The sequence below is a fragment of the Homo sapiens genome, chromosome 22 (genome assembly GCF_000001405.40).
Source record: "Homo sapiens chromosome 22, GRCh38.p14 Primary Assembly".
Classification (NCBI taxonomy): domain Eukaryota; kingdom Metazoa; phylum Chordata; class Mammalia; order Primates; family Hominidae; genus Homo; species Homo sapiens.
In genome coordinates, this window is record NC_000022.11 from 36861222 (window position 1) to 36878465 (window position 17244).

Consider the following 17244-nt stretch of genomic DNA (forward strand, 5'->3'; position numbering starts at 1 on the left):
CCGCCCCCGGGCCTTCTCACTGCTCCTCATAGGCCTTAGGGACAAAGGCCAGTCCTTCTGCAGTCCCTGATCAACATGAGAGGCTGGGGTTGAGTCAGAACCCAAATACTCAGAAATGCAACCTCTCAGAACTGCTTTAACGAAACTTTGAGCTGTGGCTCACCACCCTCAGACACAAATGAGAACACTGAGGCTCCAAGAGTGGGAGTGACTTGCCCACGGTCACACAACGAGTGACCGGCAGTGTCTGGAGAGGAATGCAGGTGTCCTGGGTCCCAGGCTGGGGCCCTTTGCTTCACATGGTGATCAGCAATGACTTTCCATCTTCTGCGCAAACAGAATTCACAGAATCTGGCTTGTTCTTCCGCTAATCAGGGCTTGCCTCAAATGTCACCTCCTCCAAGAAGCCTTCCTGACAGCCCCTACCTCATTGCTGTCTGACCCTTTGCCCTATTTCCCTTTTCTGCCTGGTTCTTATATTACAGGAATAATATTATATGCTCATTTATTATTTTTTCTTGAACGTTGGCTCCCCCATGAGAAGCAAGCTCCACGAGGCTGTGTCCGTTTTGATCGCTGCTGTATCACTAGGAGGTAGCTCATCCCTATTGAGCACCAGGACCAAGGGCTCAATAAATGTTGCTGAATGAATGAATAAATGAATGAATGAATGGGTGGATCTTTGAGACGGAAAAGGTCTTAGATTCTTCTAGTCCAACCTTGCCATTGTACAGATTGGAAATCTGAGGCCCAGGGAGGATAAGAGACTTACTCAGGGTCACAGAGAGTGACTGGCAAGGTTGGGGCTTGGAGCACGGCCTCACCAGCATCTAGCCTCGTCGCTTGGGAAGCATTTTCAGAATTTTTCCTCAGTAGCCAGGTCTGAGCTCTAAGCTGCGGGGGCCCTGAGGACGCAAAGCCTGGCCCCTGCACCCCCTGGATTGGAACAGCAGGTGACCTCTGTTACCTACGTGGAGGCCACTCAGGGGGTCACCAGAGACAGGCCAGGCTGGTGTGTGCCTACGCGGGGAACAGAAGGCCCATGTTGGGGCCTGGGGCTGGAAGTAGAACCTGAAGCGTGGGTTGGGGCAAGGGCAGCAGAAGCAAATGCCTACAGGGGAGTCCACGTGGCCTTCCTGAGCCTCAGAGCGGGGTGCAGGAGCTGGGTAAGGCTGGCCGACCTGAATTCCTTCCTCCCCTCACATGCTCCTGGGGGACCCAGCCGCACGCAAACTCGAATCTTCCGGAAGCAGCAGCTGTTTGAGGCTTGGGCACTTCCTGCTTTCTGGGGTACAGGGTTCAGGGGATGACACGGAGAGCTGACCAGCAGGACTGTGCACTCCCTCCCCCACTCCCTGTCCCCTTTCAGCTGCCTTAGCCCTCAGAGGGGGAGGGACTGCTTTTCATGAGGCCTTGAGCCAGGTACTAGGGGCATGGGGGCTCCCTGTACCTCGAAGGTCTTATCTGAAAGCGAGCCTGGATTGTTCTGCTTAAGGTCAAAGCAGAGAGTACAAGGAGAGGGCGCAGGTTCGCGCAGCGGGGACTTTCTAGAACCCCAAGGTGAGACATCCAAAGATGGGGAGGGCTGCCTTAGGGGTGGCAAGTTCGGTTCCAACAGACATGTTTTGAGCACCTACTATGTGCCAGGTGCCAGAAAACCTGCCCTGGCTGCCCTCCAAGGGTTCTTCCAACCTCGGCCTCCCCCAGGGCAGGCTCCAAAACCTCCCCCAGGCCAGGCTCCAAAGTCTGTGAACTGTGCGAGTGTGTCTTGAGCCAGAACATCCCGGCCCAGTAGGGCCTGGGTGAGGTCCCCAAGGGAGCGGATATTCCAGGGGACTTCCGGTTGGGTTTGCTGCTCTTCTTGCCCGCCCCACAGGCAGCCAGGCCATTCTCATGCTGCCCATCAAAAAACTCTATAATTGCAGACGACGGTAGTGGCCGTGTATTGAGCAGTACTGAGCACCTACTGTATGCCGGGCTCTGTTCTGGGCACTGGGATGTAGGGTGAGCAGAGTCCTTGCCCTCATGGAGATTTTAGGGCTGTGTTTGTTACAGATGGGACTGCATGACCACCCGGAGACATAAGTACTTCTCCTGTCCCCATTTTACAGAGGAGGGAAGGAGCGGAGCACAGCTAGGAATCTTCCCAAGGGAGCTTGATCTTCTTGTCCCCAGTGCTGCGCCTATGCCTCGAGCATCTGCCAATGTCTGTCCTGCTTGACTCCTTCCTCAGCCCCCACCACCCCAGGGAAAACTCGAGGTCCCTCTGCGAGGCATCAAGGCACCTCGTGAGCGGGCCCTGCCTGTCTCTCCGACTGGTCTCTCATCACGTTCCACCTCCTGCTCTGTGCTCCAGCCATGCTCAGCAACCTGCGGTTCCCTGAACTGAGCAGCTCCATCCAGGGCACATGTTGACTTTGTTTACATCTGTGACCCAGGGCCTAGGACAGGGCCTGGTATGGAGATGTTTGATGCCTTATTCCCAGGTGAATCTGTGCAATTGACAGCAATGTGTTAGACTATAATTTGGCTATTGCTATATGGTCACCAGCTTCCCATTCCTACACTCAATATGGCCACCAGCTTCCCATTCCTGCACTCAGTATGGCCGCCAGCTTCCCATTCCTGCACTCAAGGCCTGGGCTGTGTCTTGTTATCTCCGTATTCCCAGGGTCAGTGGCTGGACCTGGCCTGGGAAGGGGTGCTGAGAGACGAATGTTGGCTTCACAACATTAGTTTGCTTTGCACTCTACCTCATACCCGGTGGGCCCACAAAACACATCAGGGTGATAAGCAGGATCTCTTTTCCCCTCCTTCGCACAGTGACTTTGAACAGCTTCCGGATGATGTTGCCATCTCGGCCAACATTGCTGACATCGAGGAGAAGAGAGGCTTCACCAGCCACTTTGTAAGACAGACTCCTAGTCCTTCACCCAACAACCTCTGAACTTCCACCCAGCTGACCTCTGAACCTTGCCCTCTGACCTCTGAACCTCCAATTCTCTGATCTCTTAACTTCTATCTCAGTGGTTCTCAACAGGACCGATTTTGCCCATTTGACATTACCCTGGGAGATTCTGATTATTGCATCTTGGGGCAGGTCTACTCCACATCTAGTGGGTAGAATCCAGGGTGCTGCTAAACACCCCACTGTGCACATGACAGCCCTGTCCCCAGTAAAGAACTGTCCGGCCCCAGCATAATACTAAGATTGAGAAATCCTGATCGCGTCCTTTGACCTCAGAACCTCCACCTGGAGAGTCGGGGGTGAGGGACTTTAGTGTTGCCCCCACAACACCCCTGTCATATTCAGACACAGATGGAGGGGGCATCCTGCACCCACAGCACAGCCAGGGGCAGGTTCACTCTGCACCATGACCTCCAAGGCATGGCTCCTCATTTCTTGGGCCTGAATGTGTGTTTGGCCTATTTCCAAGGGCTCTTGCCTCTAACACTAGGTCTCACTTCCTCTCTTTTTCCAGTTTTTTTTTTCTTTTCTTTTCTTTTTTTTTCGCAAAGCTCGTCTGCTTCTGGGGCGCCAGCCTTTTGACTTGACAGGGGTCTCCTTCTCCAGAGACCCTTCTGCATCCTTATCCTCATCATCTTCCTCCTCCTCCTCCTCCCCTTTTCCCTTCCACCTCTTTTTGGCTTGTGCTCCTGGCCCCTGAGCCCTCCCCACAACCTCTGTCCTCCTTAGGTTTTCGTCATCGAGGTGAAGACAAAAGGAGGATCCAAGTACCTCATCTACCGCCGCTACCGCCAGTTCCATGCTTTGCAGAGCAAGCTGGAGGAGCGCTTCGGGCCAGACAGCAAGAGCAGTGCCCTGGCCTGTACCCTGCCCACACTCCCAGGTAGGCGGCCACTCCCGTCCTGCTGCTGCAGAGCTGCTGACTCTCCTTCCTTCCAGGGCCCCTGACACTGTTCTGTGATTTGATCTCAACCCCAGTGAAAACTGTTCATGTAGTTTATAGCCCCCACTCCCGGCAGTTACAGGCTGCCAAGCCCTCCCTGCATGGCTCCCCCTGCCTCACGCCATGGCTTCCACCCCAAGCACTCTAGCCTCACAGCCCCGGAGCTCTGATGACCATCGTGGCCACTCGCTCCTGCTGTCCACTACCAGGAGGCCACAGTCTGGAGCACTTCAGCACCTGGCCTCCCTTCCTCAGAGACAGGAATCCCCCAGTCTGGTCCCTAAACACACTGACTCACCTCCCTGCCCACCCTCAGCTTCCTCCCACGAGACCAGCCCTCTGACTTCATGGTCTTGGCTTCCAGCGTCCCTGTGGCTCTCCTTCTTCTCCTGTCCCGCCAGGAAGCTGGGTGGCCTCAAGCCTCTGCTTGCAAACAGTCTCCCCGCCCCCTGGCCTCCTGGTCCTTCCTCCCCAGCTGGATCCTAACGCGCACCTTGGACAGCGCCAAGCCCTTAGCTGCTCAGCACCTGCCCCGCAGGAGGAAACCCCATCACGAATGGGTTACACGGGGGTGGTCTCAGCGGCGCCCTTCGTGCCCTGCAAGTTAGAGACAGGGACAATTGTCTCCCTTCCCCAAGCCTCAGGGACCCTTCCCCAAGCTCCAACCCCATCTCCAGTTTGTTTTTTCTGTCTCTGTTTCTGTCTCTCTCTGTCTCAGCATATGACCCCGCTCCTTCTCATCCAGCCCCACCAAGGAACTTGAAGCTCCCCCTAGGAGTCTTGCCTACTCTAAGCCAGCCTCCCCTCTCAGGCTCCATCATTTTCCCTCCTCTCTCTTTTGGGGCTCTCTCCTGACAATCTACCCCTCCTTTTCCTTGTATATTCATCTTCCTCTTGATATACCAACTCCCTCTGCTAAGCGTCTCCACAGCCTCAACCCTCTTCTGTCTTTAAACAATCCTGAGCCATGAAACAGCATTCTTACAAGCCTCCCTGAGCCTCCGTGCCCCCAGGGCCCCCAAAGTTCTCTTTCTTCTTCCTTTGGCATCAAATTCACGCACTGTCTCACCTTGGCATGGCCATCCTCTCCTTAACTCCTCAGCTTGGTTTAGCTCTGACTACTCCACTGAAATTCCTCTCGGTGAGGTGGGCCATGACCCATCAATTCTGGCTTCCATGGCCAGTGCCAAGCCTCATCTTCACACCCCCACTCCTTCCTCTGTTAAGCTTTCTCCAACCTCCTGAGGCACCAGTGTCTCCCAATCCCCTTCCTAGCTTACTAGAGACTCCTTCAGCTTCTCTGTTACAGAATCAACCTTCTCTGCTGCTCCTTGGAAGGTGGGGATCCTCTGAGCAGACATCCTCTCTCCCCTGCCTTGTCTTCTCATTCCAAACACTCACCCTGGCAAACTGACCCATGTCTGGGACTTAATTGTCACGTTTTTGCTCCTAACTCCCAATGTCTAGCTCTAGCCCAGACCCTCCTACCGCCGCCGCCATCACCTCTGTCCATCTCCTGGACACCAGGAGCCAGGCAGGTTTCAGACTTGCTTCCTCGTAGGGGTTCTCTTGGTGAATGGTTCCACCAGTGCGCCCACATGAAGGCACCTGGAGGGGACATTTGTCTCTTGGTAGCCCGTCATATTTCCTTTTCCTCCAGAACATCTGCCTTGAGCTTGAGGAATTGTTCATTCATCCACTTAACAAATGCTCATTCATCTGGGCATGATTCTAGACCCATGGTTCTTAACTTTGGTGGTATGTGGACGTGCCTTGAGAGATGGAAAGAATCCTGGTTCCTGAGTCCTGCCCCCGGAGATTCTGATTTAATTGCTCTGGGGCAAGTGCTACACAGTGAGATATTTACAAGCTCCTTGGGTAGCTTGAATGTGCAGCCGGTGTTGCCACTGTCCTGGGTGATGGGGGTACAGCTGTGAGCCAAGCAGGTGAAAATCCTGCTCTCTTAGAACTAAGAGTCGTGTGTGTGTGTGTGTGTGTGTGTGTGTGTGTGCGCTTGGATGAACAGGCAGTAAATAAAAAAGTAAGACAAGAAAAATATCAGCTGGTGATAGCACAACTGAGAGGATGAAAGTTGGATGGTGCCAGAGTGGCCACTTCAGTGCTGTGAAAAGATAACAGGGAAGAATGCTGAGCCATCGGGAAGGGGCTCTGGCCAGGGTTCCTGGCCTGTAGGGGCAGCCCTGAGCCCCGGGGCCATGTTGGGCCAGGCTCCTAGGACAGCTCTTTGTCTCTTCTCAGCCAAAGTCTACGTGGGTGTGAAACAGGAGATCGCCGAGATGCGGATACCTGCCCTCAACGCCTACATGAAGGTACCAGTGGGCCTTGCCACCTTGGCACGTGGAAGGGCATGCAGTATTGGTGGGGGAGCCCACGTACCATCCCTGGGTATGGCTTTGGGAACTGGGGCTGGCTCTCTGGCTCTGATGGCCCCATCTTCAATCCCTAAAGGCCTGGTCTGGGGAGTAAAACAGGATGCGTCCTTAGGGTTCCAGAGATAGGAGCAGGAGCAACGGAGAAGGTAAAAGAGCCACACTAGGAATTGACAAGTCTTCATTTAATGCTCCAAGCCCCACAGGTGAATGTCTATGCCAGGAGTTAAAATACAAAGGTGAATTCCATCCAGTGTCTGCCCCCAAGGTACCCACTGTCCTATGGGAATGCCAACAGGTGGATCATAAGATCACACGGAGACATATGTGTGCCTCCATCATGGGGGTGTGGCCAAGCAGGCCGCAGGTTGCTCATATAGCATCTTTGTGCAAACTAGAGTAGGCCTCCTCTGGGACAACTCACTCCCTTACGTGAACATGGGCTGGATTTTAGCTACACTCATGGGTCTTGGCTGGGGGCCCTTGTGTATTCTCCGACTTGCAAACTCTGCATCTCTATGAGATGGGAGCGTAGAGGAAGGAGCATCTTAAAGGCAGAGGCCAAGGTGGTCAGGAAAGGACTTCCACCAGCCACAGCCATCCAGGAAAGGGGCAGTGTTCCTCATGAGGTGGCAGTGAGTGCACCGTCGCTAGAGACCTGATAGTGACCTCAGGAAGCTGGCAAGCGAAGCCCTCCTCCCAGCCCAGCGGCATCCTCACAGCTGGAGAGCGCTGGGCTAGGATCCTTTAGTCTTGACTCTGACACTGACTGGCTGGGTGATTTGGGGTGAGTTGCCCATCCTCTCTAGGCCTTGGTTTTCACACTTGTGAAATGGGGCAGTGCCCTCTAGTATCACAGGAGTGAAGTTGGGATCTGTCGAGAACAGGATGAGAAAGTGCTTTGTAAACTGTGAACCTGCTTCCAGAATGTGAGAGATCTTGACTCCTGATGGAGGGAAGGAGCAGATGGAGGGCAGAGGAGGTGGGAGGAAGGAGGAGAGAGCAGGTAGCTGCAGGAATCCTGGGCTCTGAGCAGGGAAGAGGGAGGGAGGGGAGCTGGGTGGGCTCCAGCTGCTCCTTCAGGGTGGCTGAGGCTCCACCCTTCTCCCCCTGGGCTAGAATAGGGGAGTGGGCTGTGAAGGGAGGGAGGGAGGGAAGGAGGAAGAGAAGGCAGGAGGCGAGGCTGGGGAACTGGGGCTCCTCATTCCACACCTGGTCTTAGCAACCAGCAGCCCAGAGGATCCATCTCTGCCTCTTTGTGTCCAATTGGGTTCCTGGAAGCCAGAGATCATTCAGGGCAGGAATCTCTGCCATGGCCACCCCATCCTGTGCTTGCATACCCTCAGAGATGGGGAGCTCACTACCACTCCGCCCTGACCCAGGCTGCCTGTCCCATTGTTGGGCAGCTATGAGAAAAGCCCAACTCTCTGTAAGTCCTACCCACTGGTCTCACCCCGCCCTCATGAAGAATGTGAATCACATGATAATGACAACTGCCTGGAACTGCGTGAAGAGCTTTGACTGGCAACCAGGAGACTCTTGATACACGTTTATTGATAAATGAATAATCTTATTTAATCCCCTCAATAACTTGTGAGTTAAGTGTGACAGAGCAGTTAGGTAGGTGGGATGAGATTTGAATTCACATCTCTGTGACTCCAGGGTTTGAGCTCTTACCCACTGTGCCTCGTTGTAATGAAAATCACAGTAACAATGATGACATCTAACTTTGATGGGCACCTGGTATATGCCTGGTGTTGTTCTAAGGATTCTGCATGTATTTACTCATTTAATTCTCACACAATCCCACGAGGGAGAGGCTATTATTGTCCCCATTTTATTAATGACCATCTGGAGCCAGGTTTGCCCAAAGCCACCCAGCTGGTGACAGGCAGAGCTGGGATTCGATCCCAGGAGCCCCTGGCTCCTTAAACACCTCCCAGGCTGTCCCCATATGACAGCCTTTTCCGGGCTCTGCATCCCCAGTTCCTCTCGGACAAAGTTCCCCGACCCCACCTCATCCTGCTGCCCCCATGGGATCCTCTGCAGGGCTCTGGGTGCCTCTGGAGCCTCAGCACCCAAAGCCAACCCTCAGTGTCCCCAGACCTGTGCGCTTGGAGTTTGGTGAGATGACCCCGCCAGGCTCTGGGTGCTCGCGTCCTCACAGCTTCAAAGTCTTTGCATCGTGGTGGGTGTAACCAGCTTGGATGAAACAAGGACACTAGGGCTCAAGTCCGGGCCCTGTCACTTAGCTCGGCTCCTCTGGGCCAGGTACTTTCCCTCTCCAAGCATCAGTTTCCTCAACTATGATATGAGATAAAGTATCAGGAAGCATTTTGTAGGCTATAATGCCACCAACTGTTGTTAATTTGGGTTATTTTGGGAGCCCCCCACCCCCGCCAACTGTTGTCTCACCTTAAGCTTTGGGTAGCCTTTAGTGGCAGATGGCTCTGGGTGCCCCAGCTCTGTCCCTTGCTAGGCTTTGTGGCCTTGAGCATATCCCTTCACCTCTCTGATCCTAACTCAAGGGATGTCATGAGATGGAGCAAGGGCGCGCATGTGATACCCACCTGGTAAAGTCACCGCCGGGTCATGTTAGTTGTCATCACCATTACTGCTGTTTCTGGAGAACTTTAAGTCTTTTCCAAATGGACTCTTCTCAAGCCCCTGGTCCCTCTCCTGACCTTGGACCCAGGAGCAGAGCTTGTGAAGTGTTACCTTCAGCATGCTGAGTTTTCTTATTCTTTTAAACAACGCATTTCTGTTATCAGGCATCATGCATTAGTAAAGAGAGGAGGGCTGATGTCAGGGCTCGGGGACGGGACATCTAGGCTGGGGTGTCCAGATCTTTCTGCTGACTACCCCACCGGTTCTGCTGTCTCACCCACACAGAGCCTGCTCAGCCTGCCGGTCTGGGTGCTGATGGATGAGGACGTCCGGATCTTCTTTTACCAGTCGCCCTATGACTCAGAGCAGGTGCCCCAGGCACTCCGCCGGCTCCGCCCGCGCACCCGGAAAGTGTAAGTGACCAGCCCCTGGGCTTCCACATGGCCAGAGCCCTGGGTCCCTGCTGGAAAAGCATCTCTTTTCCCTGAAAGGAGAGAAGGAAAATACAGATCAGCCATATCCCTGGACACTCCAGGATGATTTGATTTATTAGATGGGTTTAGAAAGTCATGTTCAGGCTTGGAGGGACAGAGGGTGTGTGCCTTTCAATGTGATAATAAGGATTGGAAGACGAGGACTGGGATATTGACTCCAGAGAGTTTGGTGCCACAGCAACTACTGGGGATAGCCCAGAAGCTCTGGGTGCCTGGAAAGAATTGGGGGCAGAGAGGAGGGAAAAGCTGCCCCATCCACAAACATTCTCTGAGCATCTCTGGGAATGCCTTCTCCCTGGTGTGTTGGAGCTCCATGGGGCCAGCTATGGCTCTAGTTGTATCATGCTGGCCTCCAGAGCACACTGTTCCTCCCTTATTCCAAAAAGCCCATCCTTCCCACCAAAAATTCAAGCCACTCGTAGACTGCTGGGCTTCCAAAGCCCAGGTTGCTGCTACTAAGAATTCTGGGAAAAGCAGGACGGAGCTCCTGAGCTCCCCACCAGCTCCTCCCTCTGCTTCCTCCCACCAATGTCTCCAAGGGTCCTCTCCATGCCTGGCATCTCCCCTGTGCACACAGGCAGGTGTGTCTTAATTCCAGCTGTGCCATGTGGCAGCCGCAGGCCCCAGAGCAAGGCACTTCACCTCTCCAACCTTCAGTTTCCCTCAGCTGAAAAATTAGAAACAGTCACATTTACATCAGAGCTTGGTTGTAGGGAGCAGAGGAACAAACACATCTGAACACTTTGGCAAGTGAAAGGCACCGAATGAGCGTGTATCCCCTTCCCCACCTGCTTTCTGAGCCTGGCTTCCTGGTCCATAAAGAAGGGAGAACAATCCCACCTCCAAAGAGGTTGTGAGGATTTGGGGACAAGTGTGCCCGCCCAGAGGAGCAATTGCAGCCACATTTCAGCATCTTCTGTCTCCTCTGCCTTCCCTGCTCCTTGCAAGGGGCTCCTCTGGACACAGGAGCAGGAAGCTGGGCCCTGAGAGAATCACAGGGCTAACAAGCCCCTCTTCTCTCTCCACAGCAAGAGCGTGTCCCCACAGGGCAACAGCGTTGACCGCATGGCAGCTCCGAGAGCAGAGGTAACCCCCGCCCCCACGCTGGCCAGGCTCTCACACTGTGGGCATCTGCCTTGGCCCACCTGCCAGCCACTGGGCCTCTCCTGCTGGGTGCTGCTGTGTGCCTGGGACAGTGCTGGGCACCAGGAGGAAGGAAGGGGTTACAGCCTCAGCCTCTGCCACTGGGGGTCCCCCGAGCCCAGCTAAGGGGAGGGCATGTGACCAGCGTGCGGAGCCAGAGGAGAATGCTTCCATCCCTACGCTCATCCGGACAGTTTACCTGGGCCTCCTCTGAGTCAGCCCTGCCTTAGGCATGGAAGCTGCAGAGATGACTCAGACAAGGCCCAGCCCACGATGAAGCCTGGGGACCAGGGTGGGTGCTCAGCCCAGAGAGTTCGAACCCTTCCCTGTGTGCTCACCCCCACCAGGTTTGGAAGGAGCACCCATCCTGGAGTCAGGGAGACCTGGGTTCAATTCCCAGCTCCTCCACTAAAAAATGGGGTGGCCTCAGAGAAGTCGCTTATTCTCCCCAAGCCTCAGTTTCTACATCTGTAAAATGGGAGACTAAAGTATGTAAGGCACTTCTATAGGAACTCAGTGAGTGTTCTCTCCTTCCCTCCTTACTGCACGCTTCTCCTCAGGCTCTATTTGACTTCACTGGAAACAGCAAACTGGAGCTGAATTTCAAAGCTGGAGATGTGATCTTCCTCCTCAGTCGGATCAACAAAGACTGGCTGGAGGTGAGTTCAGAAGTGAGGATGGAGGTGAGATTGAAGGTGAGGTTGGAGGGAAATTAAAAGTGAAGATAGAGGTGAGGGTGGAAGTGCAATTGGAGGTGAGGATGAAGGTGAGGGTGGAGGTGAGATTGGAGGTGAGGATGGAGGTAAGAGTGGAGGTGAGGATGGAGGTGAGATTGGAGGTGAGGATGAAGGTGAGATTGGAGGTGAGGGTGGAGGTAAGAGTGGAGATGAGATTGGAGGTGAGGATGGAGGTGAGATTGGAGGTAAGGTTGGAGGTGAGATTGGAGGTGAGGTTGGAGGTGAGATTGGAGATGAGATTGGAGGTGAGGATGGAGGTGAGGGTGGAGATGAGGGTGAAGGTGAGGATGGAGATTGAGGGTGGAGATGAGGGTGAAGGTGAGGATGGAGGTAAGGGTGGACGTGAGGATGGGGGTGAGACTGGCAGTAAGGTTGGAGGTGAGGATGGAGGTGAGATTGGAGGTGAGGGTGGAGGTGAGACTGGAGGTGAGGATGGAGGTGAGATTGGAGGTGAGATTGGAGGTGAGGGTGGAGGTAAGGGTGGAGGCGAGAGTGGAGGTGAGGATGGAGGTGAGACTGGAGGTGAGATTGGAGGTGAGGATGGAGGTGAGATTGGAGGTAAGGTTGGAGGTGAGGATGGAGGTGAGATTGGAGGTGAGGATGGAGGTGAGCGTGGAGGTGAGATTGGAGGTAAGATTAGAGGTGAAGATAGAAATGAGAATGGAAGTGGGATTGGAGGTGAGTTTAGAGGTAAAGATGGAGGTGAGGATAGAGGTGAGGAAGGTGAGTTTGCAGGTAAGGATGGAGGTAAGATTAGAGGTGAGGATGGGGGTGAGTTTGGAGTTGAGGATGAAGGTGAGGTTGGAAGTGAGGTTAGAGATGAGGTTGGAGATGAGGTTGGGAATAAGGATGGAGGTGAGGTTGGAGGTGAGGATGGAGGTGAGAATGCAGGTAAGGTTAGGCTGAGATTAGAGGTGAGGCTGGAGGTGAGGTTGCTTCAGGCATTGTATGCTTCAGAGACTGAGGATGGTCTCAGAAGGCCTCAGGGAAGAGATGCTATCTGAGGATAGCCCTGGAGATCCAGGCAGGTTGGGGAGCCTGCGGGAACAAAGCCTTTGGGGAGGCAGGTGTTCGGTGGCAGCAGAACATTCTTGGAGCTCATGCTTTGGTTCTGACCCTGAAAAATGGGTTGCTTAGGGCAAGTAAGTTAACCTACTGAGTTTAGTTTCTTGGTCTGTAATGGGTGTCTCAGCAGGGGCACTATTGACATTGGGGCCAGATGGTCCCTTGTGGGGTTGTCCTGAGCATTGCAGGCTGTTCAGCAATATCCCTGGCCTCTCCACTAGATGCCAGCAGCACTGCTAAATTGCACCAATCACATGGCTCTCCAGATATTTGCTCCTGAGGGGTGAAATCGCAACCACTTGTGTAATATGGGACAACAGTACATACCTTGCCCACAGCAGTAAAAGCTGCTGATGAAGAGTGTGAACTCAGAGTCAGCCTGTTTGGGCCATTTCCTAGCTCTGTTTTTCACTAGCTTTGTGGACCTTTGGAAACTTGCTCAAACTTGCGGTTTCCTTTTCTGTAAATGTTTCTTCATCGGCTTCCTGGAAAGGGTAAAGGAGGTGGTAGATGGCCAGGGCTCGCCCCAGAGCCTGGGTGTGCGGCGCCTGGCCAGGTACTAGGGTCATTAGGAGACTTAAATGAAACTTCAAAGCCAGGGACTTTCCCAGTCACTGCTTTGTCCCTGTGTGGCCCACAGAAGGGCTGTGTTCTGACTCAGTGAGTGGAGGTGGGAAGTGGCTGTGTTGGGCCTTGGCCTGGGACCAGCCTTTTGTATTAGGTCCTGTCTTCAGACTTAGTGCTCCTGTGGGGAGTGTTGAAGGAGGTTCTGGGACAGGCCCAGAGGCAGGGTCAGCCCCCAGGGGTCCCAGGACCTTTAAGAGTTGGGTTGGGTCCCTAGCGTCCAGGCCCTGGAGAGGAGCTAGTAGTGACCACTGGTTTAGCCAGTTTAGCAGTTTCCATTTTACCCTAATCATAGATCTCCATCTCAGGAACTCAGGGCTCTTACAGAGGCCTGAGGAGTATCTCTGGGCCACTTTCCAGAAATAGAAAACATGTATTGCCTTCCTGTTTTCCGGAAAGTCCTACTTATCAGTATGCTGGCTAACTTCTGGCCTCAGGTTGAAGGTGGGGGCAGAGGGGCAGGGAGGGGACCACTTTGAGCCTTGGTTAATATGTTTGTAAAATGGCATGTAAATAATCCATGTTCCATAGGGTCGTTGTGAAGATGAACAGAACACGTGCCCAAAGCCCAGGCCATGGCCGGGTCTGGGTCTGATTTCTGGCTACTTGGTCTAGAGTAGAGGCACAGTTGTATCTGATGAATGAATGAGTGAGTGAGCGGGATCAGCAGCAGGCCCTTCCTCACCCCTCATCCTCTTCCTCCCCTGTTCTATTTTCCTCTGTAACACCTGCTGCCATCTGACTCACTGGATAGGTCATTGTTCACAGCGCGCACAGCGTGTCATTCCCCATCATACTGGAAACTCCGTGGGGGCAAGGACTTATTATTATTTTTTTATTATTATTTTTTCTTTGAGACAGAGTTTCACTCTGGTTGCCCAGGCTGGAGTGCAATGGCGTGATCTCGGCTCACTGCAACCTCCACCTGCCAGGTTCAAGTGATTCTCCTGCTTCCGCCTCCCGAGTAGCTGGGATTACAGGCCCGCACCAACACGCTTGGCTAATTTGTATATGTTTAGTAGAGACAGGGTTTCACCAAGTTGGCCAGGCTGGTCTCGAACTACTGATCTCAAGTGATTCACCAGCTTCGGCCTCCCAAAGTGCTAGGATTACAGGTGTGAGCTACTGCGCCCGGCCCAAGGACTTTTATCTATTTTGAGAGCCCAGAGCCTGTCACGTGGCTGGTTCTCAAGAAGCCTTTGTTGAATGAATAAGTGAATGAGTGAGATAAAAGCAGCTTTCTATATAAATCCAGATTCTGGCATATTGTAAAACCCAAATATAAGCCTTCTTAGAAGTGACCAGCTCAGCGAACTTCCTCGCTTTCCCTCCTCCCTCTACAGAAGAAGACCCGGACCTCATCTGCCTTTCCCCATCACTAGAACGGGGCTGAGGGCTCTGAGGCGTGGCTCTGCTGCCTCTCCTCTCACCAGCATGGCATCCCTTCTCTTCCTCTGCAGGGCACTGTCCGGGGAGCCACGGGCATCTTCCCTCTCTCCTTCGTGAAGATCCTCAAAGACTTCCCTGAGGAGGACGACCCCACCAACTGGCTGCGTTGCTACTACTACGAAGACACCATCAGCACCATCAAGTCTGTGGCCTGGGAGGGAGGGGCCTGTCCAGCCTTCCTGCCATCCCTACGACCACTGCCCCTCACATCACCTTCTCATGGGTCCCTCTCCCACTCCAAAGCCCCCAGTGGCTCCCAGATGAGCCACAATGCTGTAACAAGCCATCAACGTCCAGGGTGGCCTGGCCAGCCTCATTCCCCTTTCCCCCACCCCACACCCCACTTCCAGCCTGATGCCTCCTTACTCCAGCCTGTCACCCCCTTAGGGACATCGCGGTGGAGGAAGATCTCAGCAGCACTCCCCTATTGAAAGACCTGCTGGAGCTCACAAGGTGAGGGGCTGGGAATGGGGCTGGGGAGTTAGATACTCTGGAGAAGAGAGCGCAGGGAGAAATGTTAAGCACTAGTATTAAGGTGCTGGGGTTTTGCGTGTACTTTGTCTTCTCTTTTTATCCGCAGCCCAGCCCTGCAGGTTAGGCAGCATCTCCCCACTTTAGAGATGAGCGGGGAAGCTGCAGAGAGGTTAGGGGAACTGGTTGAGCTCACGCAGGTTGTGGGTTTAGATCCGGATCTGCAGCTGGAGCTAAAGTCTCTCTGGCTAAAAGCCTTGGACTTGAACCATCCACTCTCAGGGACTCACTACCCCCCCAGGTCCAGGACATTGCTGGACAGTTATTTTACAGAATGGTAACCGCATTGCTACATTTCTGACTATAAAACTTGTACCAACTCATTATATATTAAAAAAGAAATGTCAGTAACCATGTCAGAAAGATACAAAGAAGTGAAATCACCTCATATTTTTACTCCCCTCGTTATGTGACGTACACTCAGATTTCTTCAGTACTTACACCCCACACACACATGCACACACAAAAGTCACTTTGGCTGCACAAAACCTTTCAGTGGCTACATCATTAACATGGCCATGCGCTTTTGCTGGCCTCTTAGGATTTCTTCTGCTTTTTTACTACTCTAAACAACATTGTACAGACCATCTTAGTTAACCTATTTGATGACTTATCTGATCATTTCCTTTGAATGATTTTCAAGAAGTGGATTTGGGGATTAAAGCATTTGCAAGTCTCATAGGCTTCTGGCCCACACTGTGAAATTACTGGTAGAAAGCTCAGATCAATTTCTACGTACACCAGCCAAGTAGAAGGATGCGCATCTTCCCGCACCCAGGCCAGACAGTTCCTGTCCTTACAAGGTTCTCCTCAATAGCCTCACACAGGTGTCTCTCTGAGGCTTTATACAGCCCCACTCTGTGCCCAGTCAAACCCACTCTTCTTCACAACTCTTAATCCTTTAGCACATTTATACACGAGACATTTCAGGCTGTGCCACTAATTTCCGTGAAAGTCTCTTCTCCTTCTCCTTTTTTTTTTTGAGATGGAGTCTCACTCTGTTGCCCAGGCTGGAGTGCAGTGGTGCAATCTCAGCTCACTGCAACCTCTGCCTACTGTGTTCAAGTGATTCTCCTGCCTCAGCCTCCTGAGTGGCTGGGATCACAGGTGCATACTACCTCGCCCAGCTAATTTTTGTATTTTTAGTAGAGACAGGGTTTCACCATGTTGGCCAGGCTGGTCTTGAACTCCTAACCTCAGGTAATCTGCCTGCCTCGGCCTCCCAAAATGCTGGAATTATAAGCGTGAGCCACCGCACCCAGCCTCTTCTCCCTTTTAGGCCTCGATATCCCCATCTGTACAATGGGAGGTTAGATTACTTGGATGACACGGGCTTGTATCAGGCTCTGACTTTTTCTTACTCCTGGCTTCAGGACATAAAACCCTTTTCACCCCCTCTCCCTACCCCTACCTTACGCTTAGGCCCTTTGATTATCCCTGACTTTTCCCATGCAGGCGGGAGTTCCAGAGAGAGGACATAGCTCTGAATTACCGGGACGCTGAGGGGGATCTGGTTCGGCTGCTGTCGGATGAGGACGTAGCGCTCATGGTGCGGCAGGCTCGTGGCCTCCCCTCCCAGAAGCGCCTCTTCCCCTGGAAGCTGCACATCACGCAGAAGGACAACTACAGGGTCTACAACACGATGCCATGAGCTGACGGTGTCCCTGGAGCAGTGAGGGGACACCAGCAAAAACCTTCAGCTCTCAGAGGAGATTGGGACCAGGAAAACCTGGGAGGATGGGCAGACTTCCTGTCTTTGAGGCTAATGGACCCGTGGGGCTTGTAATCTGTCTCTTTCTACTATTTACATCTGATTTAAATAAACCATTCCATCTGAAAGGGGCAGGCTGCGGGAAAGAGTGTCTTTCATGGGGAGTAAAATACCATTTAATGAGCATCCACAGGGCGTCATTTATATCTGGCAGGGGCCCTGGCTCTGAGACCCCTGTCCTGCCACCCCATTTCCTTGCTCTGTCCCTGTGTTGGGGGGAAACCCGAGGGTCCCCAAGCCATACCCTTTCTCCCTCCCACTGCTCCCCTTTTCCTGGGATTGGCCACCTGCCCCACAGAAGTGATCTGCTCTGGGTGCCCTCTGGGGTTCCACCAATGCCAAGTCCTCGGCTGTGTGATGAGGGTCAGAAGCTCTCCTCTGCCTTCCTGTCTCTGCTGCTCTGTGGAGGAGGAAGGCAGGTCTCGGGGTTGGTTGTCTCCACTGTAAGTAGACACAGGGGGAGGACTCTAGTCTCATCCAGGAGGAGGGGGACACAAAGCAACGGGATCTCCTTCTCTGAGC

The 17244-nt window shown here is 53.3% G+C and overlaps 1 protein-coding gene and 1 long non-coding RNA gene across 5 annotated transcripts in view, besides 1 other annotated feature; one reads left to right on the forward strand and one right to left on the reverse strand.

The window, feature by feature from the left end:
* The window catches only part of NCF4-AS1 (NCF4 antisense RNA 1), a 23072-nt gene extending 13850 nt beyond the window's left edge, over positions 1-9222 (reverse strand). Inside the window, exon 1 of the long non-coding RNA NR_147197.1 lies at positions 8872-9222. This is a non-coding gene — a long non-coding RNA (NCF4 antisense RNA 1). The remainder of the gene's footprint in view (positions 1-8871) is intronic.
* NCF4 (neutrophil cytosolic factor 4) overlaps positions 1-16794 on the forward strand; it is a 17010-nt gene extending 216 nt beyond the window's left edge. The window contains exons 1-11 of one of the 4 annotated variants that reach the window (XM_047441385.1): positions 2-594; positions 1926-2004; positions 2824-2908; positions 3698-3851; positions 6171-6241; positions 9194-9321; positions 10431-10488; positions 11106-11204; positions 14432-14562; positions 14808-14873; positions 16407-16794. In XM_047441385.1, the coding sequence (XP_047297341.1) occupies positions 498-594; positions 1926-2004; positions 2824-2908; positions 3698-3851; positions 6171-6241; positions 9194-9321; positions 10431-10488; positions 11106-11204; positions 14432-14562; positions 14808-14873; positions 16407-16602 (1164 nt within the window). In that variant the 5' untranslated portion in view covers positions 2-497 and the 3' untranslated portion in view covers positions 16603-16794. Of the gene's footprint in view, position 1; positions 595-635; positions 1561-1925; positions 2005-2823; positions 2909-3697; positions 3852-6170; positions 6242-9193; positions 9322-10430; positions 10489-11105; positions 11205-14431; positions 14874-16406 lie in introns of those variants that run through there. The other 3 variants (XM_047441384.1, NM_000631.5, NM_013416.4) reach the window with 3 other exon arrangements.
* Positions 10572-11110: an enhancer, noted in NCBI's record as "H3K4me1 hESC enhancer chr22:37267835-37268373 (GRCh37/hg19 assembly coordinates)". NCBI's record gives its function as "activates a minimal SCP1, AML or CMV promoter by ChIP-STARR-seq in primed H9 embryonic stem cells {active_cell/tissue: H9 hESC(primed)}" and the evidence as "EXISTENCE:reporter gene assay evidence [ECO:0000049][PMID:30033119]".